Consider the following 25,870-nt stretch of genomic DNA (forward strand, 5'->3'; position numbering starts at 1 on the left):
TGACCATAAGGGGGCGTGGCTCTGAGCGGTGCCCGGCTTCCGGGTGGCTGCGCGGAAGCGCGGTGCAGGCGTGGGCTGGCCCTGCGGCGCCTGCGCGCTAAAAAGAGGAAGTTTGAGGCCGGCCGCTTGGTGGCGCCTGTGGCCGCAGGGATTTGACTGGGCCTTCTCTAGCTTTCCCCGGTTTGCTGCACTTGACGCTGCAGGGCGGGCGGGGTAAAGAAGGGAGCGAGCCCTTCTCAAGCTTGGAAAGTTTCCAGACTGCTGGGCCAGCCTCCTCCCCAGAGGGAAACTGAGGTCCGATTGAGGTAGGAGAATAGGGTCTGGAGGCGGGGAACTTGAGGCCAATACGTGCTGAATTCTGAAGCTGAATCAAGGGAAAACACCAAGGTCTGGGGGCAGGGAACCGGAGGCCAACTAAGGCGAGCTTACTAAAGCTAAACCAAAAAGAAAAACCCCATCTCCCCATGTCCAAGTAACAAAGGATCAAAGGCCACTGTCCCCACAACCCTCCCCCTTCCACCACGTCTCAGTTGAAAGGGAGAGTGCCTTGGATTGGCTGCGGGCCAAGCACGGGCCATCCCTTCATCTGCATAGGGCGCCAATTCACCTTAGCCCCATTTATGCCTTGTGTTCCATTATTGGAACGCTAAGCATATGGGAGTTATTTATATCCTACTGCTCAAGGTCATGGCCAAGGTCTGATTGCAAAAATTCAAAAAGATTGCAACCTCAGGCATAAATGGATTAATTAGCCATGGACCAAACCCTTCATCCAGATAAGGGGTAACGGACAGGGACCGCAAAAGGAGTACTTAAAACCCGGAAAACTTTGTAACTGAGCCCCTTCAGCCTCTTGCTCAGGCCCACTCCCACCCTGCGTAGTGCTTTCTCGCTTTAACAAATCCCAGCTGTCTGCTTCCTTCCTGTGTGTCATTCGTTTGTTACTTTCTGGGTTTTGTTCAATTCTTTGTTCGAAACGCTAAGGACCTGAACAACGCACACTCCTGGCCTTCCCTCTGGTAACAGGATGAGGGGCAGGCTTTGCGTGGAAGTAGCAGCAAGCCCTGGAGCCTAAGGCTTATTTGTTAGCCAGGAGTGATAGCCCCTGTGCCACGCTGCGTCCTGCGTTCCCCGCACTTGCTGTACAAGATTTTCGAAAGCTGGAGTGCGGCTCTTCTCTATTTTTCCCAGGGGCACCAGGACCCCTAAAAGCGCCCGTGTATGTGCCTCCTATGATAGGGTAGCCCAGGCCCTGGGATAAGAGTATGTGTGGTTTCTTGGCTTGGTGACACTCCCACCCCCTCCATGAACCCTCCCTCCTTTGACGGCCACGTTTGAAATAACCACAGCCTTGGGGTTGGTCCCATCCTTTATTCGAGTTTCCTTGCCCCTACCCTAGCCCCGACCCTGACGTTGGCCAGCTAGGTGCGGCTGCAGGGATTCATGGCAGTACCCAGCTTGCGGCAGTAGCAGAAGGCATTGAAGAAGCGGCAGTAGCACGTGGCACATGGGTCACAGCAAGGCACCTGCTGTCCCAGGCAGGACTCATGCAGCCTTACGCAGCGACGTGAGGAGCGGGGCTCGCGGTCCTGCAGGTCTAGTACCTGCAGGGGTGGGGAACCAGCACAGGCCTCTAAAGACAGATCCAGGGATCTTACCTGTCCCAACCTGTGCAGGATGGCAGTGGAGCATGGGAAGGGGTGGTCGGTAGTGTCGTCGCTGGTGAGGGAGTTTGGAGCTGGGGAGAGGAGCTAATACCCAATGCCCCCTCCCAAGGGCCACCACCTTACCCTTTTCCCTGAGCAGTTACCTCTGCCAAGGCCTGAGCCTCCTGCAACAGATCCTCTTCTGCCTGTTCTGCAGTTGTCTTCTTCAGTGGGGCCCGCAGGCCCAGGCCTGGGGCAGAGGATGTGAGGGCAGGAACCCCCATGCACAAAGCACCCACCTCCCAGGGGAGGGTTTGGGAAGGGAGAAAGAGGGTTTATGCCAGGGGAGACTATTTGTGGCCAGAGGGTATTCAGGCCCCGCCCAGTCCCACCCTTGCTCACACTGACCTGGGAGCTCTGGGAGCAGGGCCTGGTCAGGCCTTCTGATGCCCTCCATGGGGGCCAAGCCCATCTGGGCTCCTCGCGTGGCAGGCAGTGCCAGCAGCAGGGCACAGCTCAGCACCGCTGCGGTCAGCATGGCCTGGCTCAGCAGGAAGATGTACCACTTAGTCCCTCCTTATCCTTGGAGTCCCCTCTAGGTGCCCAGATAGAGACCCCACAGAGAGGAGGAGTCCCTGCCCAACCTGAGGACTCACCTCTGCCTCCGGGATTCTTGCCTAGAGAGTTCCCGGCCACCCCGTGCCCTTGGCTTATATGGCAGGGCCTAATGAAGGGCCACACGTGACTGATCCCTGCAGCCAGGCCGTGAAGGACCCTTCCTGGAGGGTGGGGGCACAGTTCAGGCCCTCACTCCCTGAACCTGAGCCTTTTGTTCTACAAGAGGAGTGCCTATCTCCAATTTGGGGTGAGGTTTCCAGGAGCCGATTAAAATTTGGGAGCAAGAGAGGGTGCCCAGGGTCCACAAATTTCCACAGGACAGGGACCTAGGAGCTGAGCAGGGCTAGAACCATTAGCAATAACAAGGCAGGCGGCCCTGAAAGCTTAATTTAATTTGTGGCCCCAGAGATGCTTACTCAACCCCTATGTGGCATGTTGTTTCCTGTGCTTCCAAGAATTCGGGTCAAGGACATTGGAGCGGGTGATGGGCCAATGGCCACTGTTGGGCAGGGGTAGGTGCAGAACCAGAACCTGGGTTTCTTTGGAGGGAAAGGGGAAGGAAAAGCCCACCTAACCAATCCTAGGCCCTCCTGACTACATTTCTGGTCCTCCCCTCCCTTTCTCCCTCCAGGTTTCTCCAAGACCGCCCACTCCTGCTCCTGTCCCCAAACCCCTTTCTGCCTAGGGTTCCTGGAAGCCAAGGAAACAGAACGAACTGTTCCCTGGGTGGGCGAGCCACTGCAGAGTACAAAGCTTTCAGGCCGCCTGCCTCATTAGCACTAATGGCTGCTCCCTTCCGCCCTGTGTCGTCAGGACTGTCTATGCCTGGTCTCATCAGCACAAGGCTGGGGTAAGGACTGCCCTTTTGTGGAGATGGCAGGACATACAGGACCCTGCTGCCCCTGCCTTCCCTCACCCCACTGCAGAGCTGTTTATCACACACGTGTCCATCTGGGAAAGGAATGCAGGCTGAATCAGCTTTGAGAGGATCGCAAGGCCCCAGTGCACAAACTGGGTTGGCACAAGGCAGTGGAAAAAAGATGAAGGGGGCCAGGTATGGTGGCTCACACCTGTAATTCCAGCATTTTGAGAGGCCAAGGTGGGAGGATCACAAGGCCAGGGGTTTAAGACCAGCCTGGGTATCATGGTGAGACCCCGTTGCTACAAAAAATAAAAAAATAGCTGGGTGTAGTGGTGCATGCCTGTAGTAGAGGCTGAGGTGGGAGGATGGCTTGAGCACAGGGATTCAAGAGTGCAGTGAGCTATGACTGCATCACCACACTCCAGGCTGAGCGACAGAGCAAGATCCTGTCTCAAAAAGAAAAGAAGATAAAGGGTGGCCAGGCACGGTGGCTCACGCCTGTAATCCCAGCATTTTGGGAGGCCAAGGTGGGCGGATCACTGGAGGTCAGGAGTTCAAACCAGCTTGGCCAATATGGTGAAACCCTATCTCTACTAAAAATACAAAAGTTATTCAGGCATGGTGGCACATGCCTGTAATCCCACCTACCCGGGAGGCTGAGGCAGGAGAATCACTTGTAACACGGGAGGCAGAGACTGCAGTGAGCAGAGATCGCACCACTGCACTCCAACCTGGGTGACAGAGTGAGACTCCATCTTAAAAAAAAAATGCTATTTAAAATGAAATGAAGCAATCCATACTCCCAACATTTATATATACTGGGACATCCAAGAAATTAAAATCACACCTCATTATGTCTTTTTCTTTGAGTCAGGGTCTCACTCTGTCACCCAGGCTGGGCCTGGTCAGCACCCATGCTATGGAGAGCTCTTCATGGTCTGGTGTGGACAGAGTGGGAGTGGAAGATCTCCTCCCACACAGGTGCTCAGTGTCTTACCTCACCTACGGGCAGCAGCTGTCTTCACCTGAGTGTGTGCACACAGGTGTATCAGCCCCATGGGCAGTGATGGACGAGGGCTGAGGCACTCACAGGGCAGCCCATGCCCCGGTCAGGTCCAGTGGGGGAGATATCAAGAAAACCCAGCGCCAAAATGCAATGAGCTGTGATCGCGCTACTGCACTCCAGCCTGGGCGACAAAGCAAGTTGCCGTCTCAAAAAACAAAAACAAAACTAAACAAAAAAAAAAAAACGGCCAGGTGTAGTGATTCACACCTTCTTGAGCCCAGGAGTGGCAACATAGTGAGACTCTGTCTCTACCAAAAAAAAAAAATTTAATTAGCTGAATGTGGTGATGCACACCTGTAGTCCCAGCTACTCAGGAGACAGGGAGGAGGATAGCTTCGGCCCAGGAGATTGAGGCTGCAGTGAGCCATGGTGGTGGTGGCTCACGCCTATAATCCCAGCACTTTGGGAGGCTGAGGCAGGCAGATCACTTGAGCCTAGGAATTCGAGGCCAGCCTGGGCAACATGGCGAAACCCAGTCCCCATTAAAAAAAAAAAAAAAAAAGGCCAGGTGCGGTGGCTCACGCCTGTAATCCCAGCACTTTGGGAGGCCGAGGTGGGCAGATCACAAGGTCAGGAGATGGAGACTATCCTGCCTAGCACAGCAAAACCCCATCTCTACTAAAAATACAAAAAAAAAAAAAATTTAGCCGGGCGTCATAGCGGGCACCTGTAATCACAGCTACTTGGGAGGCTGAGGCAGGAGAATGGTGTGAACCCAGGAGGCAGAGCTTGCGGTGAGCCGAGATCGCGCCACTGCACTCCAGCCTGGGTGACTGAGCGAGACTCTCTCAAAAAAAAAAAAAAAAGTTTCACAGCCGGATGCAGTGGCTCACGCCTGTAATCCCAGCATTTTGGGAGGCCAAGGTGGGCAGATCATGAGGTCAGGAGTTCAAGACCAGCCTGGCCAACATGGTGAAGCCCCATCTCTACTAAAAATACAAAAATTAGCTGGGCATGGTGGCACGCACCTATGATCCTAGATACTTGGGAGGCTGAGGCAGGAGATTTACTTGAACTGGGACCCAGGAGGCGGAGGTTGCAGTTAGCTGAGATCGTGCCACTGCACTCCAGCCTGGTAACACTCCAGCCTGGTAACAGAGTGAGACTCCATCTCAAAAAAAAAAAAGTTTCACTATGTGGGTAATTTTACGGTAAGGAACCAGCCTGATATTCCCAGGACAATGCTTGTTGGCAAAAGGACCTTCAGAAATATGTGGCATGTTCTGGGAGGAGGATTTGGGAAACCCTGGGGGAGGCAGAGCCTCCTAAGTGAGGGTGTGGGCCCGGAACACAGGGACTCTGTGCAGGGAGGAGAAAGGGGAGAGTGTGCATGCTCGTTCCAGAGACCACATGAGGACAGAGAGGGGTGCTCAAACCCTCTCCCTTCTCTTCTTTTTCCTCCTGCAGTGTACTCCCCTTCAAGGGCCCTGTTCCCACCTTGTCCAGGGGAGAGGGTGGGGGGTGCAGGGAAAAACTGCAAGCACCCGTGGCTCTGTCAATCAGGGTTGATTTTGAAACCCCTACCCAGCCCATTGCCCCTGCCCCAGAGAGCACAGCCATGTGTTTCCTGTGAATCATCTGTAGGATTTCCTAAGGCAGAGGTTGCCTGGAGAGGCACGGTCTCCTCAGTCATTCAGGGAGAGGAGAAGATGGATGGGGGTTCTCTCGGGCTGGTGTATTGAGCCCTGAGCTAGAGAGGATCTGTGATTGTTAATTTTGTGTGTCAACTTGACTGGGCCAGGAATGCCCAGATATCTGGTTAAATATTATTTCTAGGTGTGCCTGTGAGGGTGTTTCCAGAATCATCCAATCCTTTGAGGGTTGGAATAAAACAAAAAGATAGAGAAAGTTGGTGCCGTGGCTCATGCCTGTAATCCCACCACTTTGGGAAGCCGAGGTGGGAGACTGTCTTGAGCCCAGGAGTTTGAGACCAGCCTGGGTAACATACAGAGACCCAATCTCTACAAAAAAATTTAAAAATAGCCAGACACAGTGGTGCACATCAGTGGTCCCAGTGACTCCAGAGGCTGAGGTGGGGAGGATCGCTTGATCCCAGGAGGTTAAAGCTGTAGTGAGCCATGATCACACTACTGCATTCCAGCTTATGCACATGAGACCTTGTCTTAAAAAAATAAAAAATTTTAAAAAAGAAAGAAAACTGGAAACAATCCAAATATCCATCAACAGCAAAATGGATAATAACATTATAGTGATATAATTGGGCCAGGCACAGTGGCTCACACCTGTAATCCTGGCACTTTGGAAGGCCGAGACGAGTGGATCACTTGAGCTCAGGAGTTCCAGACCAGCCTGAGCAACATGACAAAACCCTGTCTCTTCAAAAATTACAAAAATTAGCTAGACATGGTGGCGCAAGCCTGTAGTCCCAGCTTCTCGAGAGGCTGAGGTGGGAGGATCACTTGAATCCAGGAGGCAGAGGTTGCAGTGAACCAAGATTGCACCACTGCACTCCAGCATGGGTGACAGAGTGAGACCCTATCTCAAACAAACAAACAAAAGTATGTTTATATAATTGACAACTATACAGCAATGACAAGAGAATAAACTACTGCTACACACTGCAACATGAATGAATTGCACAGACATAAGGTTGAATGAAAGAAGCATGCTGCAGAAGAGTGAGGATGGAATGAATCCAGCCCTATGACATTCAGACCCAAGCAAAATTATAATAAATGGTGATAAAACACAACAGCGGTTAACTCTGGGAGGGTGGGAAATTATTGACTGAGGGGGGAAATGAGGAAAACATGTGAGGTGTTGGAAAGGTTTTGTATCTTGATCTCAGTGGTGGTCACGCAGGTATATAAGTATGTAAAATTTCATCAAGCTGCACATTTAAGACTTGTGTATTTTGCCAAGTGCAGTGGCTCACACCTGTAATCCCAGCACTTTGGGAGGCCAAAGTGGGCAGATCACCTGAGATCAGGAGTTCGAGACCAGCCTGGCCAATATGGCAAAACCTCGTCTCCACTAAAAATAAAAAATTAGCCAGATGTGGTGGTGTGTGCCTGTAGTCCCAGCTACTCAGGAGGTTCAGGCAGGAGAATCACTTGAACCCAGGAGGCGGAGGTTGCAGTCAGCCAAGATTGTGCCACTGCACTCCAGCCTGGGTGACAGAGTAAGACTCCATCTCAAAATATATATATATATTGTATTTTTTATTGGATATTATGTCTCAATGAAAACATTTTTTCTTTTCCTTTATTAGTGGCTCAAAAAATAATGGAGTGTCTGGCTGGACGCTGTGGCTCCCGCCTGTAATCCCAGCACTTTGGGAGGCCGAGGCGGGTGGATCACAAGGTCAGGTCAGGAGTTCGAGACCAGCCTGACCAACATGGTGAAACTCCATCTCTACTAAAAATACAAAAATTAGCCAGGCACGGTGGCACGTGCCTGTAATTCCAGCTACTCAGGAGGCTGAGGCAGGAGAATTGCTTGAACCCTGGAGGCGGAGGGTTGCGGTGAGCCGAGATTGCATCACTGCACTCCAGCCTGGGTGACAGAGCGAGACTCCGTCTCAAAAAAAAAAAAGAAAAAGAAAGAAAGAAACTTCCCTCATCTCTGTAGCTATTTGTGTAACTTCCCCTATCTGTGTAACTACTGTTAACTGTGCAGCTGTGGGCATGTCTTTAGGAAAGCATATGTAGCTTCTCTTGTCTCTGTAGTTGCAGGTATGTTTTAGGTAAGTCTCCCCATCCCCCTCCCTGTGCAAGTTCCCACAGAGCTCACCATTTGCATGCCTGAAAAGGGGAGGAAACATTTTCCTGGGAGCCTGCTGATTATGCAAAGAACAAAGGCCTCTATCCTGGGCCTTGCTCCCTTATCTGTGCAGCTGCAGCTTGATTTTTCCCCAGGCTGCTCTATCTGTGCCTGTAGCTTTGATTTTTCAAAAGAATTTTACCAAGGACTAGCCATAGCTGTCTGCCCAACTGCTTTATTCCTTTTCTCCTCCCTCAGCATCCTATAGGAGAAAGTCACCTTTGTCTCCAAATTCCCTGGTCCTGGTTTTGAAAATCCTGCTGGCACCTACTGCTGAAGGCTGTGGCTGGAGAATTCAGTGAGCTACTCTGATCTGGACAGGGTCTGATGGTCCTCACTTGACCTAAGCTGAGCTCTCCCAGGCTGTGAGCATCCCCAAGGTCAGCCTGTGACTCTCACAGAAGTTCTGACCTCCAGAGCCTTCCCCCTGCTGTGGCCTTTGGGGTAGAGTAGGTTACATGGGCCAGCACCATCTGCCAAAGTCAGGGCCAGAAACCTATCCATGGGAGCCAGATTTGGCTTTTGGCTTGGGCTAGTATTGACTTTGGGCACATTCTCATCCCAGAAAGAATAATTTGGGGTATGGGATTTCATGTTTTCTTTAGTACAGCCTTGAAAGCCACGTGTACAGGGTGTTTTCTTGCTAAGATAGCAGTCGGGCTATATTTGAGCAGTCCAGAGAAGTTTAAACTACAGAGGCATCTGGATATTGTCACAGTCTTGTCTGAGGTCAATAGCTTGCAAGCGGTAGAGCTGAGAGTCATACTGGGGAGTCTGACCCTGTAATGACCCCCTGGTCACTATGCTCAGAAATAATGACACCTGGAGTTGTATTTTTCAGCACAGATTGACTTTGAATAATAAATACGTAAGAATATTTCTTCAATTACACACACACACACACACACACACACACACACACACACACACACACATACATACACAATTATGCCATTTCTCATCTTCCCTGAAGCACATGGCCCTTTGGCCTCTCTTTTATTTTCATACTTTTTTTTTTTTTTGAGATGAAGTCTGGCTCTGTCGCCCAGGTGGAGTGCAGTGGCACAGTCTCAGCTCACTGCAACCCCTCCTGGGTTCAAGCAGTTCTCCTGCCTCAGCCTCCCAGGTAGCTGGGATTACAGGCGTGTGTCACCACACCCAGCTAATTTTTGTATTTTTAGTGTAGACGGGGTTTCACCACGTTGGCCAGGCTGGTCTTGAACTTCAGGTGACTTCAGGTGATCCACCTGCCTCGGCCTCTCAAAGTGGTAGGATTACAGCCATGAGCTACCATGCCCGGCCTGTCATACTTTTTTTCGGAAACAAAAGATTAGTTCTGTATTTCAACATTAACAATGACCACACTCTGACTCAATATTGGGGAAGTTTTGAAACCAACCCAATAGTCCCATAGACAGCTTTTTTGGATAAACATAGAAATCAACCCTTCTGATCCTAAAGCTTGAAACTTACATTTGTTTTATCTGAGTTCCCCTCTCAGGAAAGGATCCCCAGTCCTCTCAAAAAGTATCAAAGAACTGAAACCCACCAGATCATCCCATCCAGACAATGAGACTCAAGGGCCCTCATTCATCATGATTTGCTTCCTTACCCCTTGCATTTGTTTTCCCACACACAATTACATTTCTTCCCTGCTATATAAACTCCTAATTTTAGTCCATCAGGGAGATGGATTTGAGACCGATCTCCCGTCTTCTCACCTGCATCACCCGATTAAAGCCTTCTTCCTTGGCAATAATTGTCTCAGTGATTGGCTTTCTGTGTGGTGAGCAGCATGACCTAGACCAAACCTGTGGTATTTTAATAACAGTTTGAAGAGTGTGAGTTTGGCCTGAAGGGAGAAGCCATTGATGGCAGGCAGAGATGTAGGCCCAGGTTTGCCAGAGCTTCAGACTTTTTTTTTTTTTTAAGATGGAATCTCGCTCTGTTGCCCAGGCTGGAGCACAATGGCGTGATCTTGGCTCACTGCAACCTCCACCTCCTGGGTTCAGGCAATTCTCCTGCCTCAGTCTCCCGAGTAGCTGGGATTACAGGCATGTGCCACCACACCCAGCTAAGAGCTTCAGGTTTTTAAAGAAAAGAGAGAAAACAGAAGTTTTTTTTTTTTTTTTTGAGACGGAGTCTCACTCTGTCGCCCAGGCTGGAGTGCAGTGGTGCGATCTCGGCTCACTGCAAGCTCTGTCTCCCAGGTTCACGCCATTCTCCTGCCTCAGCCTCCCGAGTAGCTGTTCTACAGGCGCCCACCACCACACCCGGCTAATTTTTTGAATTTTTAGTAGAGACAGGGTTTCACCGTGTTAGCCAGGATGGTCTCAATCTCCTGACCTCATGATCTGCCTGCCTTGACCTCCCAAAGTGCTGGGGTTACAGGCGTGAGCCAAGAAAACAGAACTTTTAAATGATGTTTACATGTCTAGCTTCAAAAAATGCCATGCAGGTTGTCGGTTTCCCACTTCCAGGGTAACTGGATGGAATTTCTGCCTTCATGGTGGTTCAAGCCTGAAGTGCCTTGAGACCAGAAGTAAAGAGTTCCTTCCTCCTGCAGCACTGCTAGGTTTCCTGGAGGAGACGGTCTGTAGGTGGGGTTCCTAAAGGTGGAGAGAAGAGGAAGTTACTTCCTAAAGAGAAGGAAGATAGGGGGTAACTTCAGTGTGGCTTTTGCAGAGTTGTTCATGACAGGAATCCTATCAGGCCCTGAAGTTTCCATCAGCACAGCCCCCAACCCTCACTGTCCCACACCCTTAGCTTCCTGGTTCTAGTCTCAAGGGATTCTGCTCACTTCTGTCCTCGCTTTTTTTCTCCCTGGGAACCAAGTAACAGCTGAAGAAGTCCCAGGAGTCCTCCCATGTCCTCTCAGCAACCCAGGCTGGAGCCTACTCCTTGGTGTTGGCAAAGGAAACCGTCTTTGAAGGTGAGACCTTTTTTTTTTTTTTTTTTTGAGACGGAGTCTCCCTCTGTTGCCCAGGCTGGAGTGCAGTGGCGCAATCTCAGCTCGCTGCAACCTCCCCCTCCTGAATTCAAGCAATCCTCCTGCCTCAGCCTCCTGAGTAGCTGGGATTACAGATGTGCATCACCACGCCCGGCTAATTTTTTTTGTATTTTTAGTAGAGATGGGGTTTCACCATGTTGGTCAGGCTGGCCTCGAGCCCCTGACCTCATGATCAGGACTTCCTAACCGCGCCCGGCCCAAAGGTGAGGCCTCTTACAGCTGTAATAAAGAGAAGAGAAGGCTGGGTGCAGTGGCTCACGCCTGTAATCCCAGCACTTCAGGAAGCCAAGATAGGCAGATGGCTTGAGGTCAGGAGTTTGAGACCAGCCTGGCCAACATGGTGAAACCCTGTCTCTACTAAAAGTACAAAATAATTAGCCAGTGTGGTGGCACATGCCTATGGTCCCAGCTTTTCAGGAGGCTGAGGCAGGAGAATTGCTTGAGTCCAGGAGGCAGAGGTTGCAGTGAGCCAATATTACACCACTGCATTCCAGCCTGGGCGACAGAGCAAGACACCATCTCAAAAAAAAAAAAAAAGAGAGAGAAGAGAGGAGGGTCTGAAGACTTCCTGCTGGCTGAGTGTTATCTGCCTCAGGCTACCCTGACTTTTTCACTGTTTTTCACTTTTTTTTTTTTTTTGAGATAGTCTCACTGTGTAGCCCAGGCTGATGTGCATAACACAGCAGCCTTGAACTCCCTGGTTCAAGTAATCTCCCTACCTCAGCCTCCTGAGTAGCTGAGACTACAGGCATGCACTACCTCTCCCAGCTCGCTACTTTTCAGAAAGGGTAGACAAACTACAGTAGCTGCCTGGACACCATACTTGGAGGAGAAGGGGAGGGGGAGGCTGCACCGGATTCTGTCTTCTGAACTATGTTATCTTCCAGTTTCAACATCATAAATAGCACAGCAATCTTATATGATGGGCCTCCTGATGTGATGCAAAAATCACCAAAGTAGTATTCTTGACAAAAGTATTTACCATGAATCCAATCTTGAAGAAGCAATCAGGTAAATCCAGAATATACTAGAAAAGTGGCCTGGCCTAAACTCCTAAAAAGAAAATCAATGACATGAAAAACAAACAGGCTGAGTGTGGGGCAGAGGATACTCTTCTATATTAAAAGACACTAGAGAGACATAACCAAATCCAATTCATGAACCTTGCTTCACTCCTGGACTAAAATAAGAATGCTAAAATGGGCTGGGCGTGGTGGCTCACGCCTGTAATCCCAGCACTTTGGGAGGCTGAGGTGGGCGGGTCACCTGAGGTCGGGAGTTTGAGACCAGCCTTACCAACAAACCCCATCTCTACCAAAAATACAAAATTAGCTGGGTATGGTGGCATATGCCTGTAAACCCAGCTACTCGGGAGGCTGAGGCAGGAAAATTGCTTGAATCCGGGAGGCAGAGGTTGCAGTGAGCCGAGATCGCACCATTGCACTCCAGCCTGGGAAACAAGAGCAAAATTCCGTCTCAAAAAAAAGAAAAAAACATGGTAAAATGGCATTCTTGGAACAAGTCAGGGTGATACTGCTGAATTACTGTTGGTGTGGTGATGGTGTTTTCATTGTGTAGAGCAAGGTTTCTCAACCTCTACTGTTAACATTTTGGTGCAGATAATTTTCCTTTTCTTTTTTTTTTGAGGCAGGATCTTGCTCTGTTGTCCAGGCTGGAGTGCAGTGGTGCAATCATGGCTCACTGCAACCTCCCCTTCCCAGGCTCAAGTGATCCTCCCAGCTCAGCTTCCCGAGTAGCTGGGACCACGGGCCCACGTTGCCACGCCCGGCTAATTTTTTGTATTTTTTGTAAAGATGGCGTCTCACTTTGTTGCCCAGGCCGGTCTCAAACTCCTGGACTCAAGTGATTCTCCCACCTCTGCCTCCCAAAGTGTTGGGATTACCAGCAACCCCAGGCCCACATAATTCTTTCTGGTGGGAAGTTTAACAGCAGTTCTGTTCTCTGCCCACTAGGTGTCAGTAGCACCACACCTCTTTAGTTGCAACAACTAAAAAACGTCAAATGTTCTCCAAATAGGTAGTGGTGATGGTTGAATAACATCGTGAATATACAAAAACCATTGGACTGTACCCTTTAAAATGGTTAAAATAGTGAATTTTATATCATGTAAATTTTCCCAATAAAAAATGTTATTAGGCCGGGTGCGGTGGCTCACATCTGTAATCCCAGCACTTTGGGAGGCCAAAGCTGGCAGATCACTCGAGGTCAGGAGTTTGAGACCAGCCTGGCCAACATGGTAAAGCCCCGTCTCTACTAAAAATACAAAAATTAGCCGGGCGTGGTGGCATGTGCTTGGAATCCCAGCTACTTGAGAGGCTAAGGCAGGAAACTCGCTTGAACCCAGGAGGCAGATCTTGCAGTGAGCTGAGATCACACCATTGCACTCCAGCCTGGGTGACAAGAAAGAAACTACGTCAAAAAAGAAAAAGAAATGAGTTTCCTCCTCCATACTTGCAGAGCCCCAGTGAGTCCCTGCTCTGCAATGCTCATACCCATTGTGCTGTTACTGCAAGTCAATGAGAACGTTGGTGGACTTCTCTCCACTTCACAGAAGAATGAATGGAGGCCCAGAACAATGGCATGAACCTGTCGTTTCTTGGCCTTTTGGCTAAGATCAAGTGCAATGGCATGAACCTGACCATAGTCGTAGACAAACAAGAGGCAGAGACATTGTCTTAGTTTGAGTTCCCACTTCAGAAAACCTTGAGACAAACATTGTAGCACAGGAAGTTTATTAAGAGGATACAAGCCAGGCATGGTGGCTCACGCCTGTAATCCCAACACTTTGGGAGGCCAGGGTGGACAGATTGCCTGAGCCCAGGAGTTCAAAACCAGCCTGGGCAACATGGGGAAATCCTGTCTATAAAAAATACAAAACTTAGGCTGGGCGCAGTGGCTCACGCCCGTAATCCCAGCACTCTGGGAGGCTGACATGGCTGGATCACTTGAGGTCAGGAGTTTGAGATCAGCCTGGCCAACACGGTGAATGAAACCCCATTTCTACTAAAAATACAAAAATTATCCAGGTGTTGTGGTGTGCACCTGTAATCCTAGCTACTTGGGAGGCTGAGGCAGGAGGCTCACTTGAACCTGGGAGGCAGAGGTTGCAGTGAGCTGAGATCGTGCCACTGCCACTCCAGCCTGGGTGACAGCGAGACTCTGTCTCAAAAAAAAAATAGCCTGGCATTGTGGCATATACCTGCAGTCCCAGCTATTAGGGAGGCTTAGGTGGGAGGATTGCTTAAGCCTAGGAGGTCAAGACTGCAGTAAGCCAGCCGGGGGCGGTGGGTCAAGCCTATAATCCCAGCACTTTGGGAGGCCGAGGCAGGCGGATCATGAGGTCAGGAGATCAAGACCATCCTGGCTAACATGGTGAAACCCTGTCTCTGCTAAAAATACAAAAAAATTAGCCGGGTGTGGTGGCGGGCGCCTGTAGTCCCAGCTACTCAGGAGGCTGAGGCAGGAGAATGGCTTGAACCCGGGAGGCAGAGCTTACAGTGAGCTGAGATTGCACCACTGCACTCCAGCCTGGGCGACAGAGCAAGACTCCATCTCAAAAAAAAAAGACTGCAGTAAGCCGTGAGCATGCCACTACACTCAGTCTGGGCGACAGAGCAAGACCCTGTCTCAAAAATAAATAAGGAAATAAAAGAGGATACAAAGAACAAGCGTACAAAAATACAGGGAGGGAAGACAGCCACTATAAAGTGGGTCATAAGCAGGGTTCCACCAGGGATGCCTGGTCCCCCCGGGGTGTGGGTGGGGAACTCTGGGCTGCAGTGCAGAATGCATGTCTCAGAGAAGTTCCACCCAAGGCAGGAGGAAGGTGAGTAGATATACAGCAACCCTGTCTCAGTCCCTTGGAGGGTTGTTGGGGGAGAGTTAACTCCTAGCACTTCTGACCAACTTGTAGAGTGAGCTCAGAAAGCCCCAGACACATCAGAGGCAGATACCAGCAGTGGACACCAAGAGTCTGTTCCACGTGTGTCTAAGCATACTTATCCCCCAAAATGTGGCGCCCACACCAACAGCATCAGCCTAAGGTAGGAACCTGGGAGGATGTTAAGTCTGGCTCTGCCCCAACATAATGAATCACAAACTCCTGGGGTAGGGCTCAGCTGCTAGAGTTTGTTTGTTTATTTGTTTGTTTGTTTGTTTGTTTTGAAATGGAGTCTCACTGTGTCGCCCAGGCTGGAGTGCAGTGGCTCCATCTCGGCTCACTGCAACCTCCGCTTCCCAGGTTCCAGCGATTCTCCTGCCTCAGCCTCCCGAGTAGCTGGGACTACAGGCACGAGCCACCATGCCCGGCTAATTTTTGTGTTTTTTAGTAGAGACAAGCTTTCACTATATTAGCCAGGCTGGTCTCGAACCCCTGACCTCGTGATCCGCCCACCTCGGCCTCCCCAAGTGCAGGGATTACAGATGTGAGCCACCGCGCCCGGCCAACTGCTAGAGTTTTAACAGACCTTTCAGGTGGCTCTGATGTGACTGAGCTTTGAGAATCTCTGCCCTAACCCACCATTTCTAACTCCAAAGCCCAAGGTCTTTCTGGTACTAGATGATGGCTGAGGCCTGCAGCCAATTAGTGGGAAGGGCTGCTGGGGATGTTAGAGGCAGAGGAATAAGCGGCCTGACACTCAGCTCCGGGGACACCAAATAGGTGCTGGCCCTTGTAACCCAGTGAGGAGGCAGCGCTCATTCCTTTATCTTAAAATATGTCCTGAGCACTTACTGCATGCCAGAGCCTGGTGCAAATGCTTAGGGCTTACTAGGAACCTGGGGGTGGAGGGAGCAGGGTTGATGTGAAGGCTGGGTATTGAACACAAAGAATTTGGGTCTTTTGGGGCTCCTGTGGTCTGGTCCACTCCTTGGAGATACCCACCAGGAGATGACTCAGCCTTCCTAGTCCAGGAAGGCCCCCGCCTCTTTTTCTGTGAGCCCAGCCATCACCTTATTGCCTTCAGCATGTCCTGAATGGATTTTGTCACTGTTACTGGGGCCTGCAAAGCACACAGCCCTCGTGGTCCAGCTAAGACCACCTGGCCACAGGCCGGCCCACAGCCGTACTTGCAGGGTGAACCAAAGTCAAGGAAGGGTCCAGAGAAGCTGGGTCTGAATGCCACCCACCACTTCCCCATGTCAGGAGATGACACTTATGTGGACACCCCAGGGATTCCTATGATTCCTCCAACCCATCACCTTTTCTAGAGCACCCCTCACTCCTCTCTCCAGAGTCTCCCACCTTTCCAGCACTGGCTTCCCAAGTTCCACTCTCTGCAGCCTCCATCTGTGGCCTGGACCCCAGGATCCAACCCCCTAAACTCCTTCTAGGCAACCATCTTGGGCAACTTCACCCAATGACAACCTATGCTCCTCCTGTTATTGACAGCCCTGAAAAAATGGAGTTCAAGGTCATAGGCCCCATTGGACCTGATATCTTCACCAGGCTCCTGAGAACCCAACTGAGCAGCCCTGTCCTCAGATTCCAGCTCGGACATAACATTGGGGGTCAGAAAACTGACTCCCAAGGTACAAACTGGAACAGCCAGGGTGAGTGCCAGCACACAGGATGGCTTCCTCATCATAGGCCAGAGTCTGGCCCTGGGTTAGCAAGTTCAGGGCAGCCTACAAGAGGAATGAGCTGGAAAGAGCTGTGGCCAACCCAGGGAGGCCCCAAATACACCAAGTCCCAGGTCCTCCTGCTCTTGTCACCTTTCTACAGTGGTAAGACAAGACACATTGTCTGAACAGTCCCAGTTCAGAACTTCTGTCGTGGAGCCTGTAGTGCTGCAAAGGTTGAAGACAGTGGCTTATACCCAGCTCAGTTCTTTATTTTCTCTCTTTCTCTCCTTCCTTCCTTCCTTCCTTCTCTTTCTTTCTTTCTCTTTCTTTCTTTCTTTCTCTCTTTCTCTTTCTTTCTCTTTTTTTGAGACAGTCTCGCTCTGTCACCCGGGCTGGAGTGCAGTGGTGTGAACTCAGCTCACTGCAAGCTCTGCCTCCCGGGTTCACGCCATCCTCCTGCCTCAGCCTCCCGAGTAGCTGGGACTACAGGCGCACACTACCACGCCCCGCTAACTTTTTGTATTTTTAGTAGAGATGGGGTTTCACCGTGTTAGCCAGGATGGTCTCAATCTCCTGACCTTATGATCTGCCTGCCTCGGCCTCCCAAAGTGCTGGGATTACAGGTGTGAGCCACTGCACCTGGCCTTTTTTTTTTTTTTGACATGGAGTTTCGCTCTTGTTGCCCAAACTGGAGTACAATAACACGATTTCGGCTCACTGCAAACTCTGCCTCCTGGATTCAAGTGATTCTCCTGCCTCAGCCTCCTGAGTAGCTGGGATTACAGGAGCACACCACCATGTCCAGCTAATTTTGTATTTTTAGTAGAGATGGGGTTTCACCATGTTGGTCAGGCTGGTCTCAAACTCCTGACCTCAGGTGATCCACCTGCTTCGGCCTCCCAAAGTGCTGGGATTACATTTTTTTTTTTTTTTGTCATGTGTCTGTTGCCAAGGGAATAAGGTTGGGGGGAGGATCAGGCAAGGGCGTGATTTATATACATATATATGTGTATATATATATATTTTTTAATTTTTTAATTTAAGGACAGGATCTTGCTATGTTGCCCAGGCTCTTGAACTCCTGGGCTCAAGCAATCCTCTTGCTTCAGCCTTTCAAAGTGCTGGGATTACAGGCATGAGCCACTGCACCTGGCCAAGCTCAGTTCTTTCTGGGGGTGGGCTTGGGAAGCCTTCCTCAGCAGTGATCCAAAGGCCTAGGACAGAGGAGAGGGGGTGCAGACAAGAAGGAACAAGGCCTCAGCCTCCCATTCTTGGCAAATCTAAACCTGGCAACCAAGATGATGATATTCTCATTTCACAGAAAAGTCTACTTTTCTCAGCTGGGGAGCAAGTGTCAGGAGCACTGGGGCCAGACTCCCTCCCCAACCTGGCCCTGCTCATTTTCCCCCGTTGCCTGAGGACCCTGGGGATGGAGGAAGAGCATCAGACCAGGGGCAGGGTCTATTCTGGGCCAGCACGTGGAGCGGAGGCAGAGCTGGCCTCAGGCCCTTGCCTGATCCTCCCTCCCCTTATTCCCTTGGCAGCAGACACATGACATAGAAATCACTGGTTCCACCAAATACTGCACAGCCCAGATGCTGCTGGCCTGATCAGGGCCAAGCTGAGTCACCACTTTAGGATACGATTCTTGCTTTTTGGACTATGAATGCACCCTCATCACCCCATGCTCAACCCCCAACTGAAGACTGAGGTTACAGCAGATCCGTGGATATCACAGGGTGATGAGGCACTAGGCCACCTGCTGCCTATTCCCTGGCACTTCATTCTTCTGATAATGGAGTATGAGAGAGAATGGGACATGAGGTGGACCCCGATCAGGCATGTCATAGACAGGAGGGACACATACTACCACTGGGCATGGTGCCCTAGATAATGACCCAGAGGGAGGTTGTAGGTCTCGACCCTGGGGTCCAAGCTGATGAGGAAAGGCAAGAAAAAAAGAAGGGGCCAGGCATGGTGGCTCATGCCTGTAATCACAGCACTTTGGGAGGCCAAGGTGGGCAGATCACTTGAGGTCAGGAGTTGGAGACCAGCCTGGCCAACGTGGTGAAACCCTGTCTCTTATAAAAATATATATATATATTAAAAAATTAGCCGGGGCCAGCCACAGTGGCTCACTCCTGTAATCACAGCACTTTGGGAGGCCAAGGCGAGTGGATCACCTGTGGTCAGGAGTTCAAGACCAGCCTGGCCAACATGGTGAAACCCCGTCTCTACTAAAAATATCAAAATTAGCTGGGCATGGTGGTGGCACATGCTGGTAATCCCAGCTACTCAGGAGGCTGAGGCAGGAGAATCGCTTAAACCTGGGAGGCGGAGGTTGCAGTGAGCTGAGATCATGCCATTGCCCTCCAGCCTGGGAGACAAGAGTGAAACTCCATCTCAAAAAAAAAAAAATAGCTGGGTGTGGTGGTGCACACCTGTAGTCCCAGCTACCCGGGAGGCTGAGGCAGGAGAATCGCTTGAACCCAGGAGGCAGAGGTTGCAGTGAGCCAAGATCACGCCACTGCACTCCAGCCTGGGTGACAGAGCAAGACTCCATCTAAAAAAAGAAAAAAAAAGAAAAAAAAAAAGGAAAGAAAGAAGGGAAAGCAGGTAGGATGTCTTGAACAAATAGGTGGATATAGGCTCCAGAACTGGTGGTTGTTGGGAAAAGTGGGAAAACCTTCTGCATGGGGTTGCCTGGGTGAGCTGATTTCCTATTAGGTCCTCATTCCTGCTGCCACCAAGATAAAGTGATGGGTGGCATGGAGATTTCAGCTGTGTCCTTGGATGTCATGTGCTCTGCAGTCCTCATGATGATAACAAGAGTCCATCCAGTCCATGCTTCGATGCTGGCATGACTAAAGGAACAGGGATGTTATCGAATGGGAGGGCCACGTGGTGCCCTCGTGGGCTTCCCCAAGCAGCTGACCAGACCTGGAAGCACCTTTGTCTAAGGCCCTACGAGCAGCCTAGTTAATCCTTTTCCATTCCCCCATCCCACTCACTTGTATCCCACTCTGCCTTTGCCATACTGAATCCCATCCTTGGAAAGTCAGGAAAGCCCTAAGATCTCTAGGCTCCAGCATAAGGCAGGTCCCCAGTATAATGACTGACTCTTGTCCCTTTTCTTCTTCTTCTTCTTCTTTTTTTTTTTTTGAGATGGAGTTTCACTCTTGACGCCCAGGCTGGAGTGCAATGGCATGATCTCGGCTCACCACAACCTCTGCCTGTCGGGTTCAAGTGATTCTCCTGCCTTAGCCTCCTGAGTAGCTGGGATTACAGGCGCCCGCCACCACGCCCATTTTTGTATTTTTAATAGAGACGGGGTTTCACCATGTGGGTCAGGCTGGAATGCAACTCCTGACCTCAGGTGATCCGCCTACCTCGGCCTCCCAAAGTGTGGGATTACAGGTGTAAGCCACCACGTCCAGCCTACTTTCTTCTTTTCACATGATAGGTATGAACTGGTAATGGAATAAAATAGGCCGGGCGCAGTGGCTCACATCTGTAATCCCAGCACTTTGGGAGGCTGAGGTGGGTGAATCACCTGAGGTCAGAAGTTCAAGACCAGCCTAGCCAACATAGCAAAACCAAGTCTCTACTAAAAATACAAAAATTAGCCAAACATGGTGGCACGTGCCTGTAATCCCAGGTATTCAGAGACTGAGGCACAAAAATCGCTTGAACCCAGGAGGCAGAGGCTGCAGTGAGCCAAGATTGCACCACTGCACTCCAGCCTGGGGGACAGAGTAAGACTCTGTCTCAAAAATAAAGCAAAATAAAATAAAATAAAATAAATCGTCATTGTATGATGATACATTTGGTACTCCAAACTATCAAGTTGTGGCCAGGTGCAGTGACTCATGCCTGTAATCCCAGCATTTTGGGAGACCAGGGTGGGTGGATCACCTGAGGTCAGGAGTTTGAAACCAGCCTGGCCAACATGGTGAAACCCCTTCTCTACTAAAAATACAAAAATTAGGTGGGCGTGATGGTGTGCACCTGTAATCCCAGCTACTCAGGAGGTTGAGACAGGAGAATGGCTTGAACCTGGGAGGTGAAGGTTGCAGTGAGCCGAGATCACACCACTGCACTCCAGCCTGGCGACAGAGCAAGACTCCATCTCAAACAACAACAACAACAACAACAAAACTATCAAGTTGTAACTTCAAAACTGAAATTTATTTATGTATTTATTTATTTTGAGACGGAGTTTCGCTCTTGTCACCCAGGCTGGAGTGCAATGGTGCGATCTCAGCTCACTGCAACCTCTGCCTCCCGGGTTCAAGCGATTCTCCTGCCTCAGCCTCCCAAGTAGCTGGAATTACAGGCCCCCGCCACCATGCCCAACTAATTTTTGTGTTTTTAGTAGAGATGGGGTTTCACCATGCTGGCCAGGCTGGTCTCAAACTCCTGACCTCAGGTGATCCATCTGCTTCGGCCTCCCAAAGTGCTGGGATTACAGGCATGAGCCACGACACCCGGCCCAAAACTGCAATTTATAGTGCACTGAGCAGCAAAGAAAAGTGACGAGAGCACCACTTACGATCTCTGTTCCAACAACTCGACTCTGCTGTTGGAACCCAAAAGCAGACACAGGCACCATGTAACAGATGAACCAGGCTACATTTCAATAAAACTCCATGTCTGCACACTGAAATTAGAATTTTAGATAACTTTAATGTGTCACAAAATAGCCTCCATTCGATTTTTTTTCATTGTGGTTCACGCCTGTAATCCTGGCCCTTTGGGAGGCCAAGGCAAGAAGATGACTTAAACCCAGGAGTTGGAGACGCAGCCTGGGCAACATCAGGAGACCCTATCTCTACAAAAAAAATTTTAAATTAGCTGAGTGTGGTGGTGCGCACCTGTAGTCCCTACCCTTTGGGAGGCTGAGGCAGGAGGATCATTTGAGGCCAGGAGCTCACTGCACTCCAGCCTGGACAACAGAGGGAGACCATATCTTGGAAAAAGAGAGAGAGAGAGAGAAAAAGAGAGATGGAGGGAGAAGGAGAGAAATGTAAAAACTTTAGAAAAACTTCAGTGCTTCTTAGTTGGTTTAAAAAAAAAAATGCCAGGCATGGTGGCTCATGACTGTAATCCCAGTACTTTGGGAGGCCGAGCAGGCGGATCGCAAGATCAAGAGATTGAGACCATCCTGGCTAACACAGTGAAACCCTGTCTCTACTAAAAATACAAAAAATTAGCCGGGCATGGTAGCGGGCGCCTATAGTCCCAGCTGCTCAGGAGGCTGAGGCAGGAGAATGGCTTGAACCCTGGAGCCGGAGCTTGCAGTGAGCCCAGATTGCGCCACTGCACTCCAGCCTGGGCGAGAGTGCAAGACTCCGACTCAAAAAAAAAAAAAAATCCTTGGGAGGCTGAGGCTGGAGGATCCCTTGAGCCCAGGAGGTTGAGGCTGCAGTGAGCTGTGATCCCACTACTGCACTCAGCCTGCATGACAGAATGAAACCCTGTCTCAATCAATCAATCAATAAGGCCGGGCACAGTGGCTCACGCCTGTAATCCCAGCACTTTGGGAGACCGAGGCGGATGGATCATTTGAGGTCAGGAGTTCAAGACCAGCTTGACCTACATAGTGAAACCCTGTCTCTACTAAAATACAAAAATTAGCCAGGTGTGGTGGCAGATGCCTGTAATCCCAGCTACTTGGGAGACTGAGGCAGGAGAATCGCTTGAACCCAGGAGGCGGAGGTTGCAGTGAGCCAAGATCACACCACTGCACTCCAGCCTGGGCGACAGAACAAGACACCCTCTGAAAGAAAGAAAAGAAAGAAAGAGAAGGAAGGAAGGAAGGAAGGAAGAAAGGAAGGAAGGAAGGAAGGAAGGAACCATTCTTGACTTGTGGGTTATACAAAAACAGGCAGGGTTCCACTCCTGGCACTAGGTTTGTTCTTGTGTTTGTTCTCTGTTCAGGGTTATGCCACGCAGAGGGTAGGAGGGGAATTAGTCCATGGTTATGTGTCCTCACAGATGACCACTGAGAAGGCCACCATGCCTAGTCGTCACGACTCTAGGCCCAGCAACTTGCTGAAGACTCTGCAGTGCTGGGGACCCAGGCATTTTTGTGAGGCTGTCCACACCCTATCTGCCTGTGAGGACTGGGCAGTCCATCTGGGGGTCTGGCTGCCTCTCCTGCGTGCTGCTGGGAGGCTAGGCCTGACTGTCATTGCTCTACGGCCACATCCCCAGCCACGCTCTTCTTTTTCTTCTTTCAGCCAGAGGGAGCCCTGAATTCATGCAGAGGAGTTTTTCTACCTTCCATCTGCTTCTGCATATCATCTTGTCTACTTAATGCCCCTCCTTCCGGATTTATAGAACAGTATGCATAATATGACCCCAACTGCATTCCAAAAAATAGATGTAGATGTAAGCTTAGAGATGCAAAGAAACTTTTTGAGAGAATTCACTATGCTTCTCGCGGGTGGTGACACAGTTCAAGGAGGTTCCATGGGGTGTAATGTTTATCTTTCTCTTTTGTCCTTCTGATCATTGAAATGATGCTTTGTGTGTGTGAACATGTATTACTTTTATAATTAAAATAGAAAAATTAATTTGAATGGGACAAATGCTCGAAGTCAAAGTCACCTGTTATAACTGCTGTCACTAACAGGGCAACTGTTTGAAAATGCTGCAGAAACATGAGAAATGTTCATGAAGTGACCCTGTGGAGGCTTCCGGTCACAGGATCATGTGAGCGCCACGATCACCCCAGGGGTGGAGCAGATGCTAAGTGTTCACCACACCCAATTCTCTTCCTGGACACACAGGAAGATGACATTTCCAGTGACATGCCCCACCTCTAGGCCCTAGTCTTTTTTTTATTTAAAGGTCTGAGTCTTGTTCTGTCACCCAGGCTGGAGTGCAGTGCTGTGATCATGACTCACTGCAGCCTCAACCTCCTGTGCTCAAACAATCCTCCCACCTCAGCCTCCCTAATAGCTGATGTCATATAGGCATGAGCCAGTGTGCCTGGCTCAGGCCCTACCCTTAAAAGCATCCCACCTGATTCACCAGCCCCCTTCTCTCTCTCAGTAAACTTGGAAACCACGCATTCCAGATGGTATAATTTACAGCATGATGGAAAAAGCCAGCTCTCCATGGGAAGCTGGCCAGTCTTCATTGGAGTACATTTTTATTGCATGAAGCCAATGAGACTTGATATTGTTTAACTCTGTGGTTTCCAAAGTGCGGTCCTTTTGAAGTATCCATAAAGTCTACACTAGGTTCACGGTAATATTAAGATGTTATTTGTCAGCTGGGCACGGTGGCTCACGCCTATAATCTCAGCACTTTGGGAGGCCAAGGCAAATGGATAATGAGGTCAGGAGTTTCAGACCAGCCTGGCCAACATGGTGAAACCCAGTCTCTACTAAAAATACAAAAATTACCTGGGTGTGGTGATGCATGCCTGTAATCCCAGCTACTCAGGAGGAGGCTGAGGCAGGAGAATTGCTTGAATCCGGGAGGCAGAGATTGCAGTGAGCTGAAATCTCACCACTGCACTCCAGCCTGGGTGATGGAGCAAGACACTGTCTCAAAAAAAAAAAAAAAGATATTATTTGTCTTTCATGAGTGTACAGTGGGATTTTCCAGAGGCTACATGACATGTGTTTTTTTATTTTGTTTTTTATACTGACAGAGGGGTCTTGCTATGTTGCCCAGACTGGTCTTCCAACTCCTGGCCTCAAGTGATCCTCCCGCCTTCACCTCCCAAAGTGCTGGGATTATAGGTGTGAGCCACTGCGCCTGGCTGTTTGTGACATGTGATGTTGAAACAGGTTGAGTATAGAAGCAGATATGGGAATTAAACCAGAATATTAAACCAGACATTGAAGAGATTTGCAAAAAATACAAAACAATACCACTGTTTTCACTTTCTTTTTGGTTTGGAAAAATGTAGTTATTTTTCATTAAAAGTATGTTGTGTTGGCTGGGCACAGTGGCTCATGCCTGTAATCTCAACGCTGGGAGACTGAGGTGGGAGGATCACTTGAGATCAGGAGTTCGAGACCAGCCTGACCAACATAATGAAACCCCATCTCTACTAACAATATAAAAATTAGCTGGGCTGGCTGAGCGCGGTGGCTCACGCCTGTAATCCCAGCACTTTGGGAGGCCAAGGCGGGCGGATCATGAGGTCAGGAGATCGAGACCATCCTGGCTAACATGGTGAAACCCCATCTCTACTAAAAATACAAAAAATTAGCTGGGCGAGGTGGCGGGCGCCTGTAGTCCCAGCTGCTCAGGAGGCTGAGGCAGGAGAATGGCGTGAACCCAGCGGGCAGAGCCTGCAGTGAGCAGAGATCGCGCCACTGCACTCCAGCCTGGGCGACAGCAAGACTCCGTCTCAAAAAAAAAAAAAAAAAATAACTGGGCTTGGTGGCATGCGCCTATAATCCCAGCTACTTGAGAGGCTGAAGCAGAAGAATTGCTTGCACCTGGGAGGGGCAGGTTGCAGTGAGCCAAGATCGCACCACTGCACTCCAGCCTGGGCAACAGAGCAAGACACCTTCACCTTCTCAAAAAAAAAAAAAGTTGTGTTAACATGTAATGGTTTCATGATATCATTTTAAATAAATTAATAAACATGTAAACATTTTCTCTGTTTTAATTTCTCACATGGTAAATATTAATGGTGTGAACCAAAAAGTGACTGAGGCATCTCAATCAATTTAGAGGTTTATCTTGCCAAGGTTGAGGACACGCCCGGGGAAAAAGAGACACAAGTCACAGTACGATCTGTGTCCTGTGCTTTTTCCAAAGAGGAAAGAGGCAGCAGGAGGGGAGGGAGGAAAGGGGAAAAAAGCGGGCAGGAGGGTAGGCAGGGCGGCAAGTGGTGACATTGTTGTGAGGCTGTGATTAGCAGCTCAGTGACTCTACATTTTATATGTGAAAAGGGGTCGGGGGAGTCAACTATGCATTGTCTCGGGCTTAGTAGATCTACATTTTACATAACTAAGCCTGTGAAATTACAGCTGTCCGTTTGGGAAAGGAAGGCAGTTTTTGTGGTTCCCAAGCTTAACTTTCCCTTTGACATAATGAGTTTGGGGTCCCAAGATTTTATTTTCCTTTCATAATAGATATAACCAACATGAACAAAATTCTTTAGAATCCTCAAAAATACTGAAGAGTGAAAAGACGTCATGAGACCAAAAGGTTTGAGACCCTTTGCTCTGTGACAGCTAGCCACCCTGGGACAGGCCGTTTCAATCTGGAAACACACATAGTACCTCAATTATGGGAAATTCTCTCTCTCTGTCTCTTTTTTTTTTTCT

The 25,870-nt window shown here is 49.8% G+C and overlaps 1 protein-coding gene and 1 long non-coding RNA gene across 7 annotated transcripts, besides 3 other annotated features; one reads left to right on the forward strand and one right to left on the reverse strand.

The window, feature by feature from the left end:
• Positions 54 to 223: a silencer, noted in NCBI's record as "silent region_7606". NCBI's record gives its function as "represses an Ori minimal core promoter by ATAC-STARR-seq in GM12878 lymphoblastoid cells {active_cell/tissue: GM12878}" and the evidence as "EXISTENCE:reporter gene assay evidence [ECO:0000049][PMID:35858748]".
• Positions 180 to 25,189, forward strand: ATP6V0D1-DT (ATP6V0D1 divergent transcript). 5 transcript variants are annotated; one of them, NR_184227.1, is made up of 4 exons: positions 180 to 305; positions 2,896 to 3,114; positions 10,811 to 10,907; positions 22,811 to 25,189. It is a non-coding gene; the product is annotated as an ATP6V0D1 divergent transcript (long non-coding RNA). The 5 variants fall into 5 exon arrangements; NR_184225.1 differs by having other exon boundaries at positions 23,206 to 25,189; NR_184226.1 differs by having other exon boundaries at positions 10,817 to 10,907; positions 23,206 to 25,189.
• On the reverse strand, positions 1,357 to 2,333 carry AGRP (agouti related neuropeptide). 2 transcript variants are annotated; one of them, NM_001138.2, is made up of 4 exons: positions 2,303 to 2,333; positions 2,055 to 2,187; positions 1,811 to 1,896; positions 1,357 to 1,604 (listed from the first exon to the last, which is right to left on the reverse strand). In NM_001138.2, the coding sequence occupies exons 2-4, from the start codon at positions 2,182 to 2,184 to the stop codon at positions 1,422 to 1,424; spliced, it is 399 nt and encodes a 132-aa protein (NP_001129.1). In that variant the 5' UTR covers positions 2,185 to 2,187; positions 2,303 to 2,333; the 3' UTR covers positions 1,357 to 1,421. The 2 variants fall into 2 exon arrangements, with proteins under 2 accessions (NP_001129.1, XP_047289650.1); XM_047433694.1 differs by having other exon boundaries at positions 2,055 to 2,333.
• Positions 7,506 to 7,585: an enhancer, noted in NCBI's record as "active region_10967". NCBI's record gives its function as "activates an Ori minimal core promoter by ATAC-STARR-seq in GM12878 lymphoblastoid cells {active_cell/tissue: GM12878}" and the evidence as "EXISTENCE:reporter gene assay evidence [ECO:0000049][PMID:35858748]".
• Positions 23,514 to 23,623: an enhancer, noted in NCBI's record as "active region_10968". NCBI's record gives its function as "activates an Ori minimal core promoter by ATAC-STARR-seq in GM12878 lymphoblastoid cells {active_cell/tissue: GM12878}" and the evidence as "EXISTENCE:reporter gene assay evidence [ECO:0000049][PMID:35858748]".
• Positions 25,190 to 25,870: the final 681 nt, after the last annotated feature.

The sequence above is a fragment of the Homo sapiens genome, chromosome 16 (assembly GCF_000001405.40).
Source record: "Homo sapiens chromosome 16, GRCh38.p14 Primary Assembly".
NCBI classification, from domain to species: Eukaryota; Metazoa; Chordata; class Mammalia; order Primates; family Hominidae; genus Homo; species Homo sapiens.

What these genes read in the sequence shown, in the direction of transcription:
- AGRP (NM_001138.2), bottom strand. Translation starts at nt 2,184, where the DNA reads ATGCTGACCGCAGCGGTGCTGAGCTGTGCCCTGCTGCTGGCACTGCCT. An exon ending in CCTGCTCCCAGAGCTCCCAG is followed by an intron (nt 1,897 to 2,054) that starts GTCAGTGTGAGC and finishes CCTCTGCCCCAG; the next exon opens with GCCTGGGCCTGCGGGCCCCA. An exon ending in AGGCTCAGGCCTTGGCAGAG is followed by an intron (nt 1,605 to 1,810) that starts GTAACTGCTCAG and finishes CCACCCCTGCAG; the next exon opens with GTACTAGACCTGCAGGACCG.